General features: G+C 43.6%; 1 protein-coding gene and 1 pseudogene across 4 annotated transcripts in view, besides 5 other annotated features; one reads left to right on the forward strand and one right to left on the reverse strand.

Moving 5' to 3' along the window:
- Positions 1-22077, forward strand: part of TRAK1 (trafficking kinesin protein 1) — a 212798-nt gene that overhangs the window by 29064 nt on the left and 161657 nt on the right. The window lies entirely within an intron of this gene.
- Positions 705-974: an enhancer, noted in NCBI's record as "active region_19730". NCBI's record gives its function as "activates an Ori minimal core promoter by ATAC-STARR-seq in GM12878 lymphoblastoid cells {active_cell/tissue: GM12878}" and the evidence as "EXISTENCE:reporter gene assay evidence [ECO:0000049][PMID:35858748]".
- Positions 1201-1495: an enhancer, noted in NCBI's record as "tiled region #14156; HepG2 Activating DNase unmatched - State 2:TssF". NCBI's record gives its function as "activates a minimal TATA promoter and a strong SV40 promoter by Sharpr-MPRA in HepG2 cells {active_cell/tissue: HepG2}" and the evidence as "EXISTENCE:reporter gene assay evidence [ECO:0000049][PMID:27701403]".
- On the reverse strand, positions 9025-9538 carry RPL7AP83 (ribosomal protein L7a pseudogene 83; annotated as a pseudogene).
- Positions 9366-9867: an enhancer, noted in NCBI's record as "NANOG hESC enhancer chr3:42093014-42093515 (GRCh37/hg19 assembly coordinates)". NCBI's record gives its function as "activates a minimal SCP1, AML or CMV promoter by ChIP-STARR-seq in naive H9 embryonic stem cells {active_cell/tissue: H9 hESC(naive)}" and the evidence as "EXISTENCE:reporter gene assay evidence [ECO:0000049][PMID:30033119]".
- Positions 15367-15476: an enhancer, noted in NCBI's record as "active region_19731". NCBI's record gives its function as "activates an Ori minimal core promoter by ATAC-STARR-seq in GM12878 lymphoblastoid cells {active_cell/tissue: GM12878}" and the evidence as "EXISTENCE:reporter gene assay evidence [ECO:0000049][PMID:35858748]".
- Positions 19627-19846: a silencer, noted in NCBI's record as "fragment chr3:42103275-42103494 (GRCh37/hg19 assembly coordinates)". NCBI's record gives its function as "represses an EF-1alpha promoter that drives an FKBP-Casp9 reporter gene in an ReSE screen in K562 erythroleukemia cells {active_cell/tissue: K562}" and the evidence as "EXISTENCE:reporter gene assay evidence [ECO:0000049][PMID:32094911]".

The raw sequence follows: 22077 nt of genomic DNA on the forward strand, positions 1-22077 counted from the left end.
CTTCAGGTGATCCTCCCACCTTGACCTCCCAAAGTGCTGGGATTACAGGCGTGAGCCATCGAGCTCGGCCTGTTTCTAGTTTGTTGAATGTTTTTATCATGAAAGGGTGTTGAATTTTGTCAAATCCTTTTTCTGCATCTATTGAGATGGTCATATATGTTGTGTCCTTTTATTAATATGGTATATCATAAATGATTTTTAGATTATTATTATTTTATTATTATTATTGTCTTGAGACAGGGTCTCACTTTGTTGCCCAGGCTGGAGTGCAGTGGTGCAGTCTCAGTTCACTGTGGCCTCTGCCTCCTGGGTTCAAGCGATTCTCATGCCTTAGCCTCCAGAGTAGCTGAAATTACAGGCATGCACCACCATACCTGGCTAATTTTTGTATTTTTGTAGAGATGGGGTTTTGCCATGTTGGCCAGGTTGGTCTTGAACTCTTGGTCTCAAGTGATCTGCCCGCCTTGGCCTCCCAAAGTGCTGGGATTACAGGTGTGAGCCACCGCGCCCAGCCTGGAACTTTTATTTTTTTCAATGACATAGAGACTTCTGAGTAGAAATTTCTTCTGCTTGCAAATTGTTTTTCAGTGAACCCATGAAAACGATTGCTTCACAGTGTATGCTCCAGGATGGAATACAGTTCTTAATGTAGAGGGTGCACTAGCTCTTCCTCTCTCTGGGGCGGGTCATCTGTTGTACTCACTGCTCTGATTACATTCTCTAATATTTAAGTAGACCATGACCTGTCATGGTCTGGACGTGTGGCTAATTATACTTATCTCCTCATCTCGTCTTTAAAAAAGAATGATCTCAGATTCTTATTACCAAAGGACGTTGGCCTCCTTTGTAGAGAATACTTTGGGAAGGATCCTTCTGTGGAGTTTGATCCTGGGGACTCTGACTTTAGAGTTCTTGCTGATCTTTCCTCTCCCTTTAAGGGTAAGGATTAGTATATCTGCAGACATCTCCAAGCTTAAGCTTTGTTATTGTGGGCTTATGGGCAGCAGCTTAGCAACCATTTCAAGGCACTCAGCTGTCTCATGGGTCTGTCTCTGCTTGTCACTGTCCCCTCTTGCCCTCCTTCTCCTCCCTCTCACATTGCCCGTTCCCGTTCTTTCTTCCCTTGTCCTCTTACCCGTCTCCTCCTTTTTGTCCAGCATTCCTCTCTTTCCTATCCCCTCCCCGACTCACACTCCCTCTTGCTGCTTCCCTCACCCTCTTCTTTCCCTCCTCCTTGTCTCTTTGCCTTTTCTCCTCCTAGTCCCCTCCTCCTGACCCCTGCCCTCCCTCTCTCCTTTTGTCTTGGGAATCCTTTGTCCCTGCTCTGACCTCATCCCCTCCACCCCTACCCCCAGCCCTGTGAGCAGACCTCTCCAGCTTCTGATGGATGTTGTCTTTGGCTTTTCGCCAGTGTGTTTTTCCAGCTCCAGACCCTGTGTCTTGTTTTCTCCATGGAGCTGGGGGGGGGGCGGGGGGAGTAAAGGGGATCCTGGTTTTCATGGTCTCAGGCAGGCTGTGTCTGCAGCGTTTGGCCATTTCTGAGCCAGTCCCTGGCTTTGTTTCTTGGTATTTCCGGTTCTCCCAGTGGCCTGTTAGGATGACAGGACCCACCCCACCCCCCCGCCACCCCAACTCCCCAGAGGGGGCACAGGTTTGAAAGAGGACCATGCTTTGGTCTCTTAAGAGCACTTGATTACTTGACAGACGGCCTTCTATACCTTTCAGTTGGCAGGAAGCCACCTTTTTTTTTAAAATTACTTTAAAATTTATTATAAATAAAACAAAATTATTTCTGTGGTCAAGTTTACTATTTTGAAAATGGGAACTCATGTGTTTGTCATCTGCTGGTGGGCCCTGGGCCTGGGCAGAAGCCCAGCTTTCAGGTGGCCCAAGGCACTGGATTGTTTGATTTTGGATCTTAAAACTGATTTTGGAATTTTAAATCAATTTTTCAGTTCTGCCTCAGTGTCCAGTCTGTCCTTTTCATCCCCATCTGCTTTTCATTTTATTTATTTATTTTTTGAAACAGGGTCTTGCTCTGTCGCCCAGGCTGGAGTGCAGTGGCACAATCACAGCTCACTGCAACCTCTGCCTGTCAGGCTCAGGCAATCCTCCCACCTCAACCTCCCTAGTAGCTGGAACCACAGGTGCACACCACCACACTTGGCTAATTTTTTGTATTCTTGGTAGAGACAGGGTTTCACCGTGCTACCCGGGCTGGTCTCGAACTCCTGAGCTCAAGAGATCCACTTGCCTCGGTCTCCCAAAGTGCTGGGAATACAGAAGTGAGCCATTGTGCCTAGCCCATTGTATTTTCTTGAAGGCCATTTGAATATTGGTTGTGTTAAATGGAAGGACTTTTCTCTGTTTAAGAGGGCAACTTTCCTAGAAAGTAGAGTCAACAAATTGGATTTGCAGAGGTTGGGCTCTGGAGCCAGAAGGCTCAAGTTCAAGGCTGTCTGTGCCACTTGCCAGCTGTGTGTGGCTGTTTCTTGAGCTCCCTGGTAGAGCCGATGTGGGAGCCTCCTCCATCTGCATGGGGAGAAGGGGAGGTGCTACAGGTTAAATGCTTATTAATAAATGCTCTATTTGTTATTAAGAAGATTTCATGGCAAAGATCAACCACTGAAACAGCCACGAGTCTGCTGCCAATTTTCTCTGTTTTCTTTCCTGTGCTCTGTTTTTTTTTACTTCAATTACACGATTTCTCTGGATTTTTATGTTACCTTAGTTTTGGAAGCTAGAGCTACAAAACCAATGTGCTTAAGAAAATAAAAACTTTGCCAGCTGATGCTTGTGTGTTTTTTTAAAGATTTGTTTTTTTTCCTAATCAGGAAATTGGATGTGGCAATTTTGAAATGTGGTGATTAAAATTTTTCAAAGGAGAAATCTATTGTTACCATAAATGTATGCTCCTGAGGATGCATTTCATAGTGCATTACTTCTCTACAAACATGTATTTTTTGTTTGTTTGTTTTAACTGTATTTAGAAGCTGGACTCATGCTTCTGTTAAAGGAAACCTACTGTGGGAACTATTTGAGGGTAAAAATTTTGAAGGAGGAATCACATTATTACTCATTTAAACCATAAACCCAGGCCGGGCATGGTGACTCACGCCTATAATCCCAGCACTTTGGGAGGCTGAGGTGGGCAGATCACCTGAGGTCAGGAGTTTGAGACCAGCCTGGCCAACATGACGAAACCCCATCTCTACTAAAAGTACAAAAATTAGCCAGGCATAGTGGCGCGTGCCTGTAATCCCAGCTACTAGGGAGGCTGAGGCAGGAGAATCTCTTGAACCCAGGAGGCAGAGGTTGCAGTGAGCCCAGATCATGCCACTACACTCTAGCTTGGGCGACAGAGCAAGACTCAGCCTCAAAAAACCCCAAAAAACATAAACCCATTGTTCTCTGTGAGGTGGTGGGTCAGCATGGATCCGATCCTAGGTGGTGGGAAAACACCCTTTGCCTAATGCTAATGCGTAAGCTCTGGCTGCTGAGTACACCTTGTACAGACTTTGGAGAGATGGGAGTAGGGGGCATTTGCTGGACTTGAATTTACACCTGTGGTTGGGATCCAGGACCCAGACTGGGGAGTCCAGCTCTTATCCCCACCAGCAGTTATTCTGTGATTCTGAGGCAGTGCCATCTGGCTACCACCCTTAGCCAAGACTCTTTTACCTGGGATGGTTAGATATCAGGCTGCTGTGTTTAGTAAATTGAAACACTTTATAATGTGCTTTATTCAGAGTTACTGAGTTCTGAATCAGGCCTATATTCCAGGGCCATTGCTATAATTGCCTATTAGCATATACAGACAGTTTGAAAAATCTGTTTATTTGAGCTTTTTGCTTATGTGGACTTTGGATAATTGAGCAATTCAGTATATTACATAGCGGGAGTCCTTGTGCCTACACATCTCTGAGCCTGCAGAGAATGACTCTCTTCACCCTACCACTCTCTTTCCTATGTCAGGCCGGTATCTAAGCCAGTAATGTGTGTTCTGGGCCAGTGGTCCCTAAACTGAAGGGCAACCAGATAAAAACTGGAAACTTAACATGGGTAGCAGATTACCAAATTTGGAACCAGAAGCTTTGCTTCCTTGATAATCATGGTTTTGACTGAGCAACCTTTGCAATTTTATATCTTTTTGTTGATTTAAATCTTCTGTAGAGAACATTTAAAAAAAAAAAAAAGACCACACATAATTTTTACACCGTTCAGGAACTCCTAAGAGACCCTTAGGAGGCCATAACCTGGGAAGGTTGGGAATAGGGGCCACGTCTCTACGGCAGGGTAGAGTTAGAGGAATGAGGGTTTCGATGGCCCTTTGGCCATCTCGCCTGGCTGCCTGGGCTTCCCTTCTGGAGGGATTTATTGGCTCATCTAACAAGCCAGAGGATAAATGAGCTGGTGCCTAGAGTTCCTCTGACTTTAGTATCCCCACTGCTGGGAAGATGGAATTAAGAGGATGTCTACAGAATGCTTGGAGCCCTTCTGAAGGGAGAAGATTAATCACTATGTTTACCATTGTCAAGTCTGATGTAGACTAGAAGGCACAGTGTCTGCTAGAATTTATAGTACTTGCTTTGGGTGGAAGAAATGTAAATTTTTCCCCCTAAGACTAATTCCCCATCATAAACCCCTAAGCACTAATGGTGCTAATTGAGTAGTTTTCTCTTCCTTTTCAATATGTGCGTGCTTTTTGGTTATTGATTCTGGATTTCATGAGCTTTGGTATTTATTTCCTGAGTGCCCTGAAATTATTATTTTTTAAATTAGGATGGCCTCAATTTCATTTAGTTTTTAAGGGGTTATGGAAACTGATTAGAATGGAAGATACTCATAGATTTATCTAATTTAGGATAACATTTTAATACTTACTATTTAAATTCATTCTTTAAGTTAAACATGGCCAAGGTATTAGCTTGTACTTTTTAAAAGGAAAAGCTGTTCTAAAAATGCATAGTTATTGTGTACCTGAATTGTCTTCATATGTTTAATGGAGACAAGGGGAGTATAAATACTCTCACAAAAACTGATCTTTTTTTTTTTTTTTTTTTTTTTTTAAATCTGTCGCCCAGGCTGGATTGTAGTGGCATGATCATAGCTCACTGCAGCCTTGAACTCCTGGGCTCAAGTGATCCTCCCACCTCAGCCTTCCAAGAAGCTGGGACTACAGGTACACACCACTGTGCCCGGGTGATTTTTTTTTTTTTTTAACTTTTTGTAGAGATGGGGTCTTGCTTTGTTTCCCAGGCTGGTCTTGAACTCCTGACTTTAAGCCACATTCCTGCCTTAGCCTCCCAGTGTTGGGATTACAGGCGTAAGCCACCACATCTGGCCATAAAAGCTGATCCTTTAGCAGATCTGAAAAGTAGAAAAGTGGACTTAAGATTTACTTTTTCTAATTTCTGTCCCACACTTCTAGGTTTGGCATTAATTAGGTAAAGTCAGGACAAAAGAAGGAAGATGGAAACTCTGGCACCCATAGATACCTATAGTTAACTTTAATGTAAAATAATGACTATTTTTGTGTTCCAACCAATTTTAAAGGTTCCAATTATTTAGGAAAGAGATGAAAGTAAGAAACCATCCCAAATTGTACTACTCAGAAATACCTAGTGTTGGTAGCAGGGAACATCTTGCCAGAGAAACTTCTGTGTGTGTTACGTCTGCCTGACTTTATTTTTAAATAATTCATTTTCATCAAGGCAATCATATGCACATAGCTTTTTAAAACACTCCCCCCCATAGTTTCTTTTCTTTTTTTTTTTTTTTTTGGTAAAATCACATGCACAAAGCCACACAAAACAGTAATAGGATGGTGAATTATAAGATAAATCCTTCTACAATAAACATCCAGGTCAGAAAATAGAACTTTGCCAGCTTCCTTAGTAACCCCTCTCTCCTCCACTCCAAGAGTAACTGCCATCTTTTTATCATAATCTCTAGGCAACATAAAATTTTGCCTGTTCTTAAGAACTTGATATGTATGTTGTCTTTTTCAATCTGCAGGTCCCCCTCCAGGCCTTTCTTTTCCTTACATTTTATCTACTGAGAGATAGGCCGTTGAACCTGTAGAGTTTACCACGGGTCTGAAATAACTTTACTTTTGTGCATACTCACAGTGCACAAAACTAAAGTTTTGGGATTACAGGCATGAGCCACCACAGTGCCCAAGAGTAATGTCAGCATGGCTCTCAGTTCAATGTATTTCCTGCTAATTCCATGTATGTGGTTTTAAAAAAGGCAAATGCTACTCAAAGGTCAATGAAAACCACTGTGGATTCTATTCTGTGTTCCACCTGCTCTACTCTTAGTCTTGTTCCCGAAAAGTCACTGTTTCTAACTTGTAACTTTTTCTTTTTCTTCGGTTACAGTTCTTTTTTTCCTCTACAGTTCTTTTCTTTTTTTTTTTTTTTGAGACAGTGTCTTTGTCTGTCACCTAGACTGGAGTGCAGTGGTGCGATCTCAGCTCACTGCAACCTCCACCCTGGGCTCAAGGGATCCTCCCATCTCAGCTTCCTGAGTAGCTGGGACCACAGGCGCACACCAGCACACCCCACAACAATTTTTGTATTTTTAGTAGAGACGGGGTTTCCCCATGTTGCCCAGGCTGGTCTTGAGCTCATGAGCTCAAAGCAATCCACTTGCCTCAGCCTCCCAAAGTGCTGGGATTACAGATGTGAGCCACTGTGCCTGGCCTGCCTCTGTCATTCTAAATAATATCCTTGTACATGGGACATTATTATTTTTATCTTCTGAGACAGGGTGTCACTCTGTTCCCCACTATGTTGAGCTCACTGCAGTCTCAACCTCGTGGCCTCAAGCAATCCTTCTGCATCAGCCTTTTGAATAGTTGGGATTACAGGTGCCCACCATCATGCCCAGGTATTTTTTGGGGTTTTTAGTAGAAACGGAGTTTCACCATGTTGCCCAGGCTGGTCTTGAACTCCTGGACTCAAGTGATCCACTCACTTTGGCCTTGCAGGCATGAACCACCGCACCCAGCAGGGATGTTATTTTTATTCTGCTCCCATGCTTGACTGCTGGTTGAAATGGATATGGAATTCTAGGTTGAAATAATTTTCCCTCATAGTTCTTTTAACCACCTGTTGTTAAGAAGTCTTTTGCCATCTTGGTTCCTCTTCCTTTTTTATGTCATTCATTTTTTTTTTCTCTGAAAGCTTTTAGAAATATCTAAATTTTGGGGTACTGGGTGGTACTTTTAAAATTCATTATGCCAGGCACTCAGTGGGCCCTTTCCATCTATTTTTTAAAATTATTTATTTATTTATTTACTTACTTTTTCCATCACCCATTTCTTAGTATGAACCTTTCCATCTAGAAGTTTATATTCTTTATTTCTAGGAAGGTTTCTTGTATCATTTCTTTGATAATTTCCTCCTCTCATTGTCCCTCTGTTTTCTCAATCTGGATATCCTCTGGAATTGATCCTCTGTTTTTCTTCATTCTCTATTCTTAATTCTCATTCTTTCATTTGTTTGGTATTTCCTCAGCTTTATCCTTAGTCCTTTTATTTTTCTTATTTCTACTATTCTTTAATTTTCAAAAGCTTTCTTTGTAGCTTTCAAAAGCCCCTCCTAACTTTTTTGGAATGAGTGTCCTAGTCTTATTTTCTGGATACAGTGCCTTCTCTCTCTGAAGGCATTAATGATGATTTTTGGAAGTTTTCTTCTGTTCTATGCATCGTCTCTGTTTCCTGGCTTCTTTCTCTGTTTGCTTTGGTGTCTGTCTGCAAGTTGGAGGCTTTCCTCAGGTGTCTAGTGGTCTTTGGTTGTCCTCATTTGAGGGAGCTGGCTGGAGCTCTATGTGCAGAGCAGGGCTTGTTGACAGTAGGGCTGTGTTATGAACAATAAGACACTTGGCCTTTTTCACCGGGGACTGTTTGGGTATTGGTAGTTTTTTCCCTTGGACTGGTTGGTTTGCCCAGAGGGGAGCCCTCCAGTCCCCTGCTTGGCTGATGATGCTTTGTCAGTCGAGTTGGGGAAGGGAACTGAGGGTGGGGGGGTGTGAGAGTCGGGGGTCTTACACTGCTAAGTATAGATTTACAATCCATTCTCAATCCTACTTTCATTTGTGCCTGGTGTTCCAGAGCCTAAGCTTGTGTGTTCACTTTCTCTGATCAGTTTCTGCTGCAGTGGAGAAGGGACCATTGCCCGGGCGTTCAGGAAGGTGAGGACCTGCAGGAGCTGGAGAGGTATCAGTGCTCATTTATATGAACCTTGGGTCAGTCCTCCCGTTTTTAGCTATAAGCCTGATTCTCCCTTACTACCCTCCAAAGCCCAGTTCCTACAAGCCCTGAACCCCCTTAGAGTTCATCGCTTTTCCTTGGGACCCCTGCAGGTAATCTTGGCCTTGTCCCATTAAGGCAGTTAGGCTTTGTCTAGCTGTTTTTTCATCTTCCAAAAATCTGTCAAAAATTTTCATCCTTTTTTCCGTTTTCTTTGTCCTTGTGGGTTTATTATATCTTATTTTTAATTTTTATTTTTTTTGAGATGGAGTCTTGCTCTATTGCCCAGGTTGGAGTACAGTAGTGCTATCTCAGCTCACTGCAACCTCCACTTCCTGGGTTCAAGCAATTCTCCTGCCTCAGCCTTCTGAGTAGCTGGGATTACAGGCCTGTGCCACCGCGCCCAGCTAATTTTTGTATTTTTAGTAGAGACGGGGTTTCACCATGTTGGCCAGGCTGGTCATTATTATATCTTTTAAAAACTTCCTTTATGGTCACTTTGGTGGGAATTAAGGAAATAAAGTCGGAGACCCTCTGGTTCACTTTCTTATTTTGAAGGAGAATTTTTATTTTTATGTGCAGAAGAGCTCACATTATACATTTAATTCTTAAAAATTTTAAATTTTATTATTTTTTGTAGCAGTTGGGTCTCGCCATGTTTCCCAGGCTGGTCTTGAACTCCTGGGCACAAGCAGTCTACCTGCCTTGGTCTCCCAAAGTGCAGGGATTATGGGCTTGAGCTGCCGCGCCTGGCATTCATTTAATTTTTAATCCAGTTTCATGGCAACTTGTTTGGCCTTTGTCTTTTCCAGGTGGGCTTGGCTGTGCAAGCCTTGGGTTTGTGGCCCAGGGCATTGCCTCCCCAGCAGTGCAGATCTCATCATATCTGTCATTGTTGTAGATCCTGATAGCTTTCACCATTCTAGCCAGAGAGAGCTCTTAGTTGTCTGAATTAACCAGTGAAGGTGAGGGTGGTGCAGATTTTTCTATGGCGTTTCCTTTGATAATTCAGTAGGGAGCCTCCATTCTATGCCCAAGAGAGGGAGGAAGACAGCCAACCCAGTGGATCCATGCCTTCTCATTTTCCACCAAGGTGGGGATGGTATTAACCCTGTTGGAAGGTCAGATGCTCTTAGCAGGGACTTCCCCTTTATCTGCAGCTTTCTCTAAATCCTGGGCCAACATCTGCAGCTTATTTTCTTGCTTTGGCTGTCCTTTCTCCATATGGACCAGCTTGAGCAGCTGAGTGGCTATTCGATGGCCCACGACCTGAGTGAACTGGCCTTCAAAGGCTCAGAGGAGATGGCTAGCCCTTTGCTACTTGCACTTGAATGAGCCATTATGAGAAAGATAGGATGGAGAATTCTGAGTGATCTGGGAGACTGAGAGACCTTTATCTTTTAAGACATGAAAGACAATGGAGGTCTGGCTGCTTCACCCCCAATTCCCAGAATACAGTCCTGGTGGCTATCCAGATGTGTGTGGCTGAGATTTTTTTCCTTCTTAAACTTATTCCTCTTTGAGCCCTATCTTCTCTACTACCCAGTGACGTGACTCATTTGGAAGCCACCCTGTGCCTTTGTGATATGACAGCTTAGCATGTGACCAGCTTTTGAATGATTAAATCTGCAGACTCCATCAGAAGCAAGGAGTAATCTGTGAAGTCCAAACTCACAAAGTAGTTAAAGATGATTATAAATTAAAGAAGCACCACCTGGGCGGGTCTCTAAGGGACATGGCATCAGCCCTGTGCTGAACAGTCCATTGTGTCATATCTTAGGGATTATGTGGCTTGACATTACTTGCTCTTTCAGCAGTAGCCCTCACTATAGTCCCCAACCAGTACCGTCAGCATCACTGGGAGCTTGTCAGAAATGCAAATTCTTGGGTCTTCAGACCTCAGAAACTCAGGCATGGGGGCCCAGCAATCTGTGTTCTAACAAGCCCTTCAGGAGATTCTGATGCTCTTTACTGGTTTAGATGATCTTGTAGACTGGTGCAAAAGTCAGTCCTTCTGGGTTTGGGGGTTGCTCCCACATAGCCTGGAAGGAGGGAACAGTAGTCTTATCTGAGGCTTCCTCAGGGAAATAACCCTCCAGCTTAAGGCCTCTTATGCTATTGTTGAGCAGATTCAGCCTCTGATTTAGGAAAGTAGCCAATTGGAGCAAAAAGCATGATTCAGTCTTGAAGGAAAAAAATAACTTGGGCTACTCTGCGTCATGTGAAGAAGTAACTGGGTCTCGTGTGGATGCCAGTGATAACAGTTGGCATACTGGGGATTTCCTTCTAATCTTTATTCTGTGTGCATGCAGGATGTGCATTTAATCTAGTTGGGATCCCATTGTATGCATTGTTCTGTATTGCCCCCTCCCCCATTATGAAAGAGTCCCGTGACACCACAGTGTTAAGGACTGAGGTGGTAAGGGCTCCAGGATGTCAGTGGCTATCAGAGGTCCCCAGCTCTGAGAAAACTGGTGGCTGAATGCGTAGTCCCCGAAGAAGTCATTTTCCCAAGGCATTTGGAGTTGTTGGTGCTACTGGCACATTTTGGACCTCTGTTAAGGGGAAAGACAGGGGGAGCTGACTGACTGGGCTACTCCATTGCCATTTAGATTTCCTGACTCTGCAAGCTGGCTGAATGTTGCTTTTTCATGTGCTGCCTGGACTAAAGCTGTCTGATTCTTTCCTTCTGAACAATGGCTGTTTTTATGAGATCTTGCTTCTCCCAGGCAGTGGCCCACACAGTGAAGTCTTTTCTTTCCCGTTTGTGTAAGCTAGTGGACCTTATGGACTCTGTCTGGCTGACTTTTCTCTAATGTTTACAGTTCGTGTAGTGTGATAGCCGAGCTCATTTTCCGTGTGAAGAAAAAGAAAAGGTGGATAATGGACCGCCTCCCCCTCCCTGCCTCCAGAAAAAAAGGCACTCAGAGAGAAAAGACTGCAGTCCCATTCAGAGTCGGGTGGGGGGGGGGGGCGGGGGATGGCAAAGGGGGAGGGTAAAAGAGGACCCTTAGGGCAAATGACTGTTCTGGGGATGGGGTGGGGAGTCAGCCTTCTTGGGGGAGCTGGGGATACTTTGTGTAGGGCCCCATTCTGTGGTATGGGCTTCTTTCCTCCTGGACCCTGGTGTAGGCTGGAGAAATCAGTATTATGGAAGCCACTGCCTCCTCACCCCGCCCCCAGGATCTAGGCCCAGAGGACCTGGCAAAAGCTGGGTTGGCACCCACACCCAGGACCTGCCCGAGCCAAGTCCACGCTGCCCCTGCCTGACCTGGGCTGGTCAAGTAGAGTAGGCCTGAACTGCCCGGGTGAAGGAGTATCCCAAGTCCATCATACCGCCTTTCCCCTCCCTCACCAAGGGAAAATGAAACCCCACGTGCCGAGGGCTACCTTTGCTTTTTCTGTTACCTTTGATGGATTGACTGCTCATCCCACACAATTGGGACCAAAATCTCTGGCCCTGCAATCAGTCTGCCCTACTCTGATGCTTGCTTAAGCTGTGACAAAAGATACTTGGATGCACAAAGGTCTCTTTTGAGTTTAATTGGAATTTCTCTAAACACTCTGACTCTCCCTGAATCTTCCCTGTTTCCTAAGACCAACATCGTGGAGTCAGTAGATTTAGTGAGCACCTGCTAATTACCACTGGGGTGTTGAGGATTCAGGGTAGACAGCGACCTGTCCTTATAAAGCAAGCTAACATTTGAGTATGTATCTGTGCATACTCAATGAAAAATGAATTTCATTATTTACCTGAATAACGAAATATTCAGGGCTCCTTATGTGCTAAGTACTGTGCTAAGCACTTTGTCAACATAATCAATAAATACTTTTGAAGTGAGTGACCTCCTTCAGCACCCCCTTTGGCTGGAGAGTCAGGCCTGGCTGGTTTCATGGTCCACCCTGCTGTCCTTCCTCATCTGGTGCCCCAGCCTGGTAGGCAGAGGCAAGGAGAGGCAGGTACAGGGTGCACCTTGAGAGCCTTGCAAGCCAGAATCAGGAGCTTGGGTTTTATTTTAGCAATGATAGGAAGCCGTAGGTGAGTTTAAGCAGGAGAATCATAAATAACTCACCCCAGGTCACCTCACCAGCAAATCAGTTATATAGCCAGACCAAGAACCAAGGACTTCACATTTCTACCTAGCCTGGTGCCTGGAAGAAGCATTCATTCCATTGGAAGACTCAGCTGTTTTCTATAAAAACAGCCTTCTCCTCTTTTACCACCATCGTACTTGTTCCCAGCATGGTAGAAATATTTTTGAAGTTATTTTATATATAGTAGAAATTGTATGTATGGTGAAAAGTGGAAATAACTTTTTTATTCCCTGAAGCAAACATAACTAAGTCAGTGAAAGTTGAATCATTTTCCATTTTACAAACTAACCATTGCCATGATTATCTCTGAACTTTTGTTAATAATACAGCTGTGTATGCCCAAAGCTGTAGACTTAAATTTTTTTTTAATTTGTAAATGATCTACAGCAAACTAGATTTTTTTTTTTTTTTTTTTTTTTTTTTTTTTTTTGAGACAGAGTCTCACTCTGTCACCCAGGCTGGAATACAGTGGCGCGATCTGGCTTACTGCAATCTCTGCCTTCCAGGTTCAGGAAATTCTCCTGTCTCAGCCTCCATAGTAGCTGGATTTACAGGCATGTGCCATCATACCCAGCTAATTTTTGTATTTTTAGTAGAGACAGGGTTTCGCCATGTTGGCCAGGCTGGCCTCAAACTCCTGACCTCAAGTGGTCTGTCCTCCTTGGCCTCCCAAAGTGCTGGGATTACAAGAGTGAGCCACTGCACCCAGCCTGAATTTTAACACATGTATAGAGTCATGTAACCACCCCAAGGATACAAAATAGTTCTGACACCCCAAAGAAACTGCCCGTAAAACTCTCTCTCTTTATAAAACTCTCTCCCATAGACTTTTTAAAAAGCTTTGTTAAAATAACAGCTTTATTGAGATATGATTAACATACCATTCAGTTGTCACATCTAAAGTATGGAATTCAATGGTTTTCAGTGTTTACAGAGTTGTGCAACATCACCACAGCAAATCTTATTTGTTGAGACAGGTTCTCTTGCTCTGTTGCCCAAGCTGGAATGCAATGGTGTGATCATGGCTTACTGCAGCCTCGACCTCCTGGGCCCAGGCAATCCTCCCATATCAGCTTCCTGAGTAGCTGAGATCACAGGCGTGTGCCACCATGCTCTGCTAATTTTTTAATTTTTTTGTAAAGATGGAGTCTCCTTATGTTGCCAAGGCTGGTCTTGAACTCCTGGCTTCAAGCGATCCTCCTTCCTCGCCTGCCAAAGTGCTGAGATTATAGATGTGAGCCACTGTGCCCGGCCATCCACAATAAATTTTAGAACACTTTCTTCACCCGCAAAAGAAACCCTGTATCCATTAGCAGTTACTCCCCATTTCCCCCAATCCTCTAGCCCCAGGCAACTACTAATCTACTTTATGTTTGTATAGACTTTCCTCTTTTGGACATTTGTTATACATGGAATCATACAATATGTAGTCCTTTGTGACTGGCTTTTTTCACTTAGCATAACGTTTTCAGAGTTCACCCATGTTGTAGTAGGTATCAGTACTTCATTCCTTATTATTGCTGTATAATATTCCATTGTTATGTATTTTTAATATTTAGTTTATCCTTTCATTAGTTGGTAAACTTTTGGATTATTTCCACTTTTTGGCTATTGTGAATAATGTTGCTGTGAACATCTGTAGACTTTTTTTTATTGTGGACATTTGTTTTCATTTCTTTATGTTGATACCTATGAGAGGAATTGCTAGATCATGTGGTAACTCTGTATTTAACATTTTGATAAATTGCCAGACTGTTTTCCAAAGTGGCTGCGCTATTTTACATTCCCACCAGCAGTGAGTGAGGGTTCTGGTTTGTCCATGTCCTTGCCAATGCTTGTTATTATCTGTCTTTTTGATTATAGAAATCCTTGTGGGTATGAAGTGGTATCTCATTATGGTTTTGATTTGCATTTTCCTGATGGTTAATGATGTTGAGCATTTTTTCATGTGCTTGTTGACTTTTGAAATTATTATTGAAATAATTATTGGATAACAGATGTTAAAAACATTTCAACAGAAGCAGAAATATTTTATATAATTGATTTTAAAATTATATTGAGCAAAGTTATTAGCTGATTATTAAAGAGATTATTTTACCCTGGAGAATTATTAGAAATTTTGAAATTAAAAACATTCTTTTGTTTACCCAGAAATCTAGAAGAAAGGTTAAAATTTCCACTTTTTAATATTGTCCCAAGTGCAACATAAAAGTATGCATTTTTCATATCTTAACCTTTAAATGTATGCCATGTTAGGATACAATATTGAGTGCTTGTATATTTTTGAATTCACAGTCCTTTTTTCTGCCCCGATTGTAATAATAGGCTATTCTACATCCTTCTTAATACCTTTTAGCTCAACATTTCTATTTCCAATATTAGGATTTTAAAAATAAAAATCTTGTGTGAGAGACAAAGTAAAGTACCAAAATTGCCTCAGTTAGAGGAGCCAGTTTTCTGTGGATTTGAACCAACCTGTAACCTGAGCCGTGCACAGCTGCCATGAATAGAACAGGGACCTGGTGAAGGGCACCTTCTGCCACTTTGGCCGATTGAGATCCAGCAACCTCCTGGCTGGCAGTGATCATGAAGATGGGAACTAGGACACTGGTGCATTTTAAGGTGCAGTAATTAAAGGCACTCTAAATTACTCTTTGCTGTTTAGACCACCTGGGCTGTCCAGTGCTACTTTGGATACCAAGGAAAATGGAATATTCTTATGTAAATATGGATGGACCATGAGCTCCTGGAGGGCTGGAATCCAGTTTTGTGCAATTGTTTTCTCCACAAAGACTGACAGTAGGTTCACGGTCCTGCTTCTTGAATGAAGGAAGAAGGGAAGGAATGAAGGGTGAATGATGGGAGTAACAGAAATTGATTGCCAATTCACATCCATCTCTGCCACACTTTCTTCTTTCCTAATAGAATCCAGATTTCATTCCATTCTTAAGCCTCCTTTGCAGCATGCTGGAGTAGGGGTTGAGGAGGCGTCCAGTGGGTATTGATTGGTCCAGGCCAATCACAGTGGCCCCATTCCCTTTGCTGTAGTTGTGACTGGGCCGATTGGGATCAGAACAAGTGGGCTGCAGTTTCCTGGGGAGGTTTTGTTATGTTTGCTGGTGATGCTGTATCTGCTGCTCTCATCTTGTGATCTGAGGAGAACCTGCTGGAAGGCGAGCACTGACCTGCTGTGTGTGGCCAAGCAGAAAGGGAGCAGACGAACTTAGATTCTGGGGTTGGCTCTGTCTCATTTGCATCTTGGGCAGGCCACATGTCTCTCCTCCATCAAGTGTCCTGTAACCTGGAGAACTCACCCTGGTTCACCTGACACGTGGCCCACACCATGTTAATCAGTTTGTGCTTTTATTCTTAAGTATTTGAAGGAACCAGAAAATACAACCAACTGAAAGGCGTTTTCATTTTAAATGCCTGTAAACCTGAACATGTCATTCAGTGAGCTTCCTTGTAAAGCTGAACTCAAATATCATTTCCTCCTTTACTGCTACCCAGGTTTGCCCTTCGCCCCTTGGTTGGGTTATTTTTGCCACCTTTAAGCTCTTCTGGTTTGGCTGCTGCTTCTCTTACTGCTCTGCCACAGTGGGCATTTCATTGGGAAGTGAGACTTGTGGCCGGCTTCTGGGTAAAATACTCCTTGGAACCTCCTCATCTTTAAAATATAGATAATACTCATGTACCTTGGCAGTTGTGGAGATTGACGAAGACAAGGTTTGTTTGTAAGTATGCTTTTGCCTTTAAATTTCATTTTATCATGTTCATCTTTATTATGATAACTGAGGACTGGAGGGAACCTTTATTTTTAAATTTAATTTAATTTATTTATTTTTTGAGACAGAGTCTCACTCTTGTTGCCCAGGCTGGAGTGCAGTGGTGTGATCTCAGCTCACTGCAACCTCTGCCTCCCGGGTTCAAGCAATTCTCCTGCCTCAGCCTCCCCAGTAGCTGGGATTACAGGCGCCCCCGCCACAACGCCCAGCTTATTTTTTAATGTATTTTTGGTAGAGACGAGGTTTCACCATGTTGGCTGGTCTGGTCTTGAACACCTGACCTTGGACGATCTGCCTGCCTCGGCCTCTCAAAGTGCTGGGATTACAGGCATGAGCCACCATGCCTGGCCTGGAGGGAACCTTTAAAGTCAACCTGTCCTACCTCCTGGCTGATGCAGGGATCTCCCTTTAATGTCCATTGTGGGCCTTGCCCATTGTTTGGTGGCCCATTTGAATTGTTGCGCTGAGCTCCCACCCCCACACACAACAGATCGTAAGATACGCCATTGCTTTATGTACCTCTAAGAAAGCAAAAAATGCTACAAAGTAAGCATAGTAAAGGACGATTGGCTATAAGACAAAATTCAATTTTAGAGATATTGAAATGTGAAAAAATGTGTATCTTAAGAGATTTACTCTTTACCATCTGCTCTGTGCTGCAATTTTTTTAAAGATAAAGTGCTAATTTACTGAATTTAAAATAAATCCAGGTGTGTATGCATGCGTGTATATATTTGTATGTATATGTATACACACAAATATACATACGTATGATATAAGTAGGCTTTGGACTTCAGGGAACTTTTTTTTTTTCCTTTTGAGACAGGGTCTTGTTCTGTTGCCCAGGCTGGAGTGCAGTGGTGCGATCATGGCTTGCCGTAGCCTCAACCTCCCAGGCTCAAGTGAATCTCCCCCTCAGCTTCCTGAGTAGCTGGGACTATAGGCATGCACCACTATGTCTGGCTAATTTTAAAAAATTTTTATTAGAGACGAGGCCTCTTTGTGTTGCCCAGGCTGGGACTTCAGGGCCCTGTCAAGTGTGCTTCTGTGTGTATACAGATTTTGAGATTCCCATCCCTGCTCTCCACTCCAGGATAGGACCTGAGTTAACCATATTTTAGAAAGATAATGACTTGTCTTCATCAGTTATCTTTTTGATAGTCTTTATGAATTCTAATAAAATTTTCAAAACAGTGGCTAAAAGAGAACTGTGGCCTGTTTCTCCCTGTGCCTATCAGCAGGCCTCGGGGATTTCCTTTCTTCCTCGTGGACACTTCTGTGCATTTTCCTACAAGAATATACGTGACAGGTCATGTATAGTTTTCCTTCATATTTGTGTTCTATTAAAAAAATCATCCAACTCAGAAAGCTTTTTATTTTCCAGAAAAAAATTTAAAAGTGACTTATTTCAGAGTATTTTTATTCTTCTACAGAGAGACAGCTAGCTGTGATGGAGGCTCTTCTAGGCAGGATATAGGGTAACTTAGATTCTTGTTCTGGCTTCACCGTTTGCTTGTGGTACTTCAGTTTCTTCCTCTGTGCAGTGGGCATAATAACGCCTGCTCCTTTGACTTCACAGATCATTGAGGAATGAGTGAGATTATATAAAGTAATATACTTAGTGTGGACAATGATACAATAAAGCATGGAGGACAGTGTTACAGGTACATAGCAATTCTGAAAGTGCTTGTTTGATATTAATCACTTCTTTCTTTCCCCCTGCATAAGAAATGTCTTTTCTTTTTAAAAAACATTCTGTTTTTTTCCCAATGATTCCAGAGAACCATGTCAATAAGACTCACAGGGGAAAGCCCATAGAAGGTTTTCAAGAAATCCTGTTAGCAGTGAACAAAACACACAAAAGCTCCATCCACATGGAGCTTACATTCTATTTGGGAGAGAGGGGAAATAAACAAATGAGTATATTGTAGTGTATCAGAAGGAATAGCTTCTAAGAAGAAAAATAAAGGAAGGGGATGCCGAGGGGTTGAGATGTCAGTTAAGATATGAAAAAAGACAGAGATGGCTACAGCACCACGGTGGGGGGTGGGGGGTGGTGGTGGGTGAGGGCGGGTGGTAAAGGGAGATTCCAGGTAGAGGGAATAGCAGATACCAAGACCTCTGGGTTCTGAGGAGCAGGGAGGAGAGACGGGGCAGCTTTGAAACTGTGGGACAGGAGAGTAATGTAACGGTAGAGGAGTGCCTCTTTTTCCAGGCGTGGTCCCTTAGCAGTCTCACTGGTTTATAGTCTCAGTCTGTCATTGGGAACAAGCCTTAATGTGAATGTTGTCATATTAATATCACACCTGTTTGTCAGGTCATTTTTGGCTGCTTTTTTTTTTTTTTTTTTTGAGACGGAGTTTTGCTCTTGTTGTCCAGGCTGGAGTGCAGTGGTGCGATCTCTACGCACTGCAACCTCCGCCTTCCTGGTTCAAGTCATTCTCCTGCCTCAGCCTCCTGAGTAACTGGGATTGCATGTGCCCGCCACCACTCCTGGCTGATTTTTTTTATATTTTTAGTAGAAACGGAGTTTCGCCATGTTGGCCAGGCTGGTCTCGAACTCCTGACCTCAGTTGATCTGCTCACCTTGGCCGCCTAAAATGCTGGGATTACAGGCATGAGCCACCGCGCCCGGCCTTTTTTGTTGTTGTTGTTTGTTTGTTTTGCAGTTTTTTGGGGATCTCATCAGGTTCATTTAGGGCTAAATAAACTGACCCTCCAAGGGACTTAATGACTTATGCTGAAGGACCCTGTGAAAACCTAAATGGTATGCTTCAGGCCTGGAAGCTGACTTAAAAGTGCATTTTAAAAAGTTCTTTGTTATGGTATAATTTTAGATTTATAGAAAAGTTACAAAAAGTGTGCAGAGTTCCCATACACCCTTGACCCAGCTTCCTCTAATGTTAACATCTTACGTAACCATTGACCTTAAGTTTTCAAGTGATGGGTGTGTGTCTACATCTGTGCATGCGTGCATGCACACACCCACCCACACACGCACCCCCCCATGCACACCTCCCCCACGCACACCCCCCCATGCACACCCCACCCCCCCACGCACACCCACACACACACACACAGTGCCAGGGAGGCAGCCCTGTTGTCTGTCAGCCTTTTCATAGCTCATCATATTTACACCTCCTGGATACAGAGTGGACCCTGGCCATGGCAAAAGCAGGCAAGGAGCTACTTTGAAGCTGAAGTTCCAAAGCAGGAGATACGGGGAAAACAATCAGCTGCTACAGAGCTCTGAATATCATGTGAACCCAGTGCCACTTGAACTTTATTTAGTAGAAGATTGGCCTGAGACACTTAATATAGAAATCCCAGCCATCATGTGAGAATTCCATTCCGTGCAAGTACAAATACAAGAGAATTTGGGAATGTTCACTTTGGCTTGTGTTATGCTAAGTCATCTCACTTCTTTCCCATCTAATTTATGAATCAGAACACCAACAATATATACCAGTTTATTAACTAATGAATCAGGAGCAACAAGCCCATCCATCTACCCATCTGCATGGATTTGAGCTTTATTCAGTAGTACTTTGCCTTGGAAATGGTCCAGGTTATTTTGGAAACGGATATTCAATTCAAATGATGACAGCCATTGGCACTCACTCTGGGGCTCAGGAGGGAAACCACGCCCTTCTAGGCTATTGCTGACGCCATCCCTCCAGAATGCAGCTGTCTCGGGTGGAGGCTCTGGGACAGCTGCTTCTGGCTAAGGCTGCCCATTTGGGAGAAGGGGACATTGAAATTGCAAGAGGAGTCATGGCTGAGAGAGATCCTGCTCATATGTGTGGCAGGAATCCTACAGCAGACAAGATTTTGACAATGGACAAGTCACTCACCTTCTAACATGTCCACTTTCCTGTGGATGAAGTGGAATTTTCCAAAAGCAGGAGTACAGTGCTGCCTGTTACTCTTGTGAAACTCTCAATCTCTTGGTGAACTACTGGTATTATAAAGGAGTGCCGTATTAGCGGAGGTGCAAACAAAATGCTTCAGTGCTTTTGATTCCTTTGGCTAAGGATAGGTCTTAATTTTGAATATTTTTTTTCCTACTAGGGCCAATTTCAAAAAAAATCAAGTTTGCATTCACATGTTTAATAATTCCAGTTATACTTTTAGCATTAAAAAATATGCTTGTCTTGGAGACTATTTTTTAACATTTCAGAATCTACAAAACCAGCTTAAATACAGCATGACTATACTGCTACCCCTCTGAAAAACTTTGTATTTGAGTCCTGGCACCTCTGAGGCTTCTTCATGTTGGTGGTTTTTATTTTCCTTTTCACTGACCATGCATGCTACTCTGTGTGAAATAGGGTTTGTGAAATAGGTTGTGTCAGCGCTATCTGTATGCCTTAAAACAAAGTATTATGCTGTTGAGAAAAAGCAAAACAAGGATAGGTCTTTAACAAAGACTATTTAGGCTGCTGCTGCCTAATATAATTCTCATCAGTGAAGTCTTCACTTTGTTGGAAAACAGTGCCTGACACTCCCTTGTGTCCTGCCTGGTGGGACTTCCCTACAGCCCCTTGAGCTGTTTTCCAGGCTCTGCACTGCAGTGAAGGCGTGTTTGTCTTATGAGGGGATGTGCACTGCACTTTCACCTGTATTACCTCACTCCCCAGAGCCACCTTAGGAGATGGATGACATTATCCCTGTTTTTGAGATATGGAGGACGTGCTTCAGAAATTTTAAGAAACTCAAACAAGGTCACACTGGTAGTGAGTAGTAAAGTCAGAATTCCAGGCCTGGTTTTCCAGTACCAAATCCAGTGCTTATTCTCACAGACCATGGGTCAAATCCATCCCACCGCCTGCTGTTATAAATAAAGTTTTATTGGAATACAGCCACACCCATTCATTTCCATATTTTCTGACTGCCTTCCAGCTACAACTGCGGAATTGCAACGGAGACTGTATTGCCCTCAAGGCCTGAAATAGTTATTATTTTCCGCTTCGCGGGAAAAGTTTGCCAAGCCCTGCCCTAAGCCATTGCTGAAGGAGCATCCGGGTTTTGTCTGTCAGTACATTCCCCACTGCCCCTGCCCAACCAGGAATGCCTTTGTGATGCAGTTCTTGCTCTTTTGTAAAGGTGGGGCTGGGTGTGGTGGCTTGTGCCTGTAATCCCAGCACTTTGGGAGGCTGAGGCGGGCAAATCAGTTGAGATCAGGAGTTTGAGACCAGCCTAGACAACATGGCAAAACCCTGTCTCTACAAAAATTACAAAAACTAGCCAGGCCTGGTGGGACACGCCTGTAGCCCCGTCTCCTTGGGAGGCTGAGGTGGGATGATTGCTTGAGCCTGGGAGACAGAGGTTGCAGTGAGCTGAGATTGTGCCACTGCATTCCAGCCTTGGTGACAGAGTGAGACTCTGTCTCCAAAAAAAAAAAAAAAAGTGGTGGGAGCCACACAGTGAAAAAAGCATATGTGCCGGGGCAGCCCAGCTGTGCCTTATTGTCTGCTCTCTGGCCCTGTGGTGGGCTGAAAGTTCTTACCATACTCCCATCCAGATGTAGAGTCTGTAACCTTTCCCCTTGAATCTGCGTTGGCCCGGTGATGTATTTTGACCAATAGTTTGCGGTAGAAGTGACACTGTGTAACTTTTAAAATTGAGTCTAAAGAGATCTGTAATTTCTGTCTCATACTTTGAACACCCCTTCTTGGGATCCAGCCAGCATGTGAGAAGCCCTGGTGGCCATGTGGAAATTATATCCACGTGAGAGAGAGGCCCAGTCATCCCTTTCAGAGCACTAGAGATGGGAGGGAACCCATTTTACATGCCCAGCCCTTATTACTATCTGACCTGAGGGAGATCACAAATGCCTTCTGTATTGGGTGGTAATGATACATCACAAAAATGCGAATGCTCGCAGCCAGGCGGGCGCTGTGGCTCAAGCCTGTAATCCCAGCACATTTCAAGCCTAGG

The sequence above is a fragment of the Homo sapiens genome, chromosome 3 (genome assembly GCF_000001405.40).
Source record: "Homo sapiens chromosome 3, GRCh38.p14 Primary Assembly".
Taxonomy (NCBI): domain Eukaryota; kingdom Metazoa; phylum Chordata; class Mammalia; order Primates; family Hominidae; genus Homo; species Homo sapiens.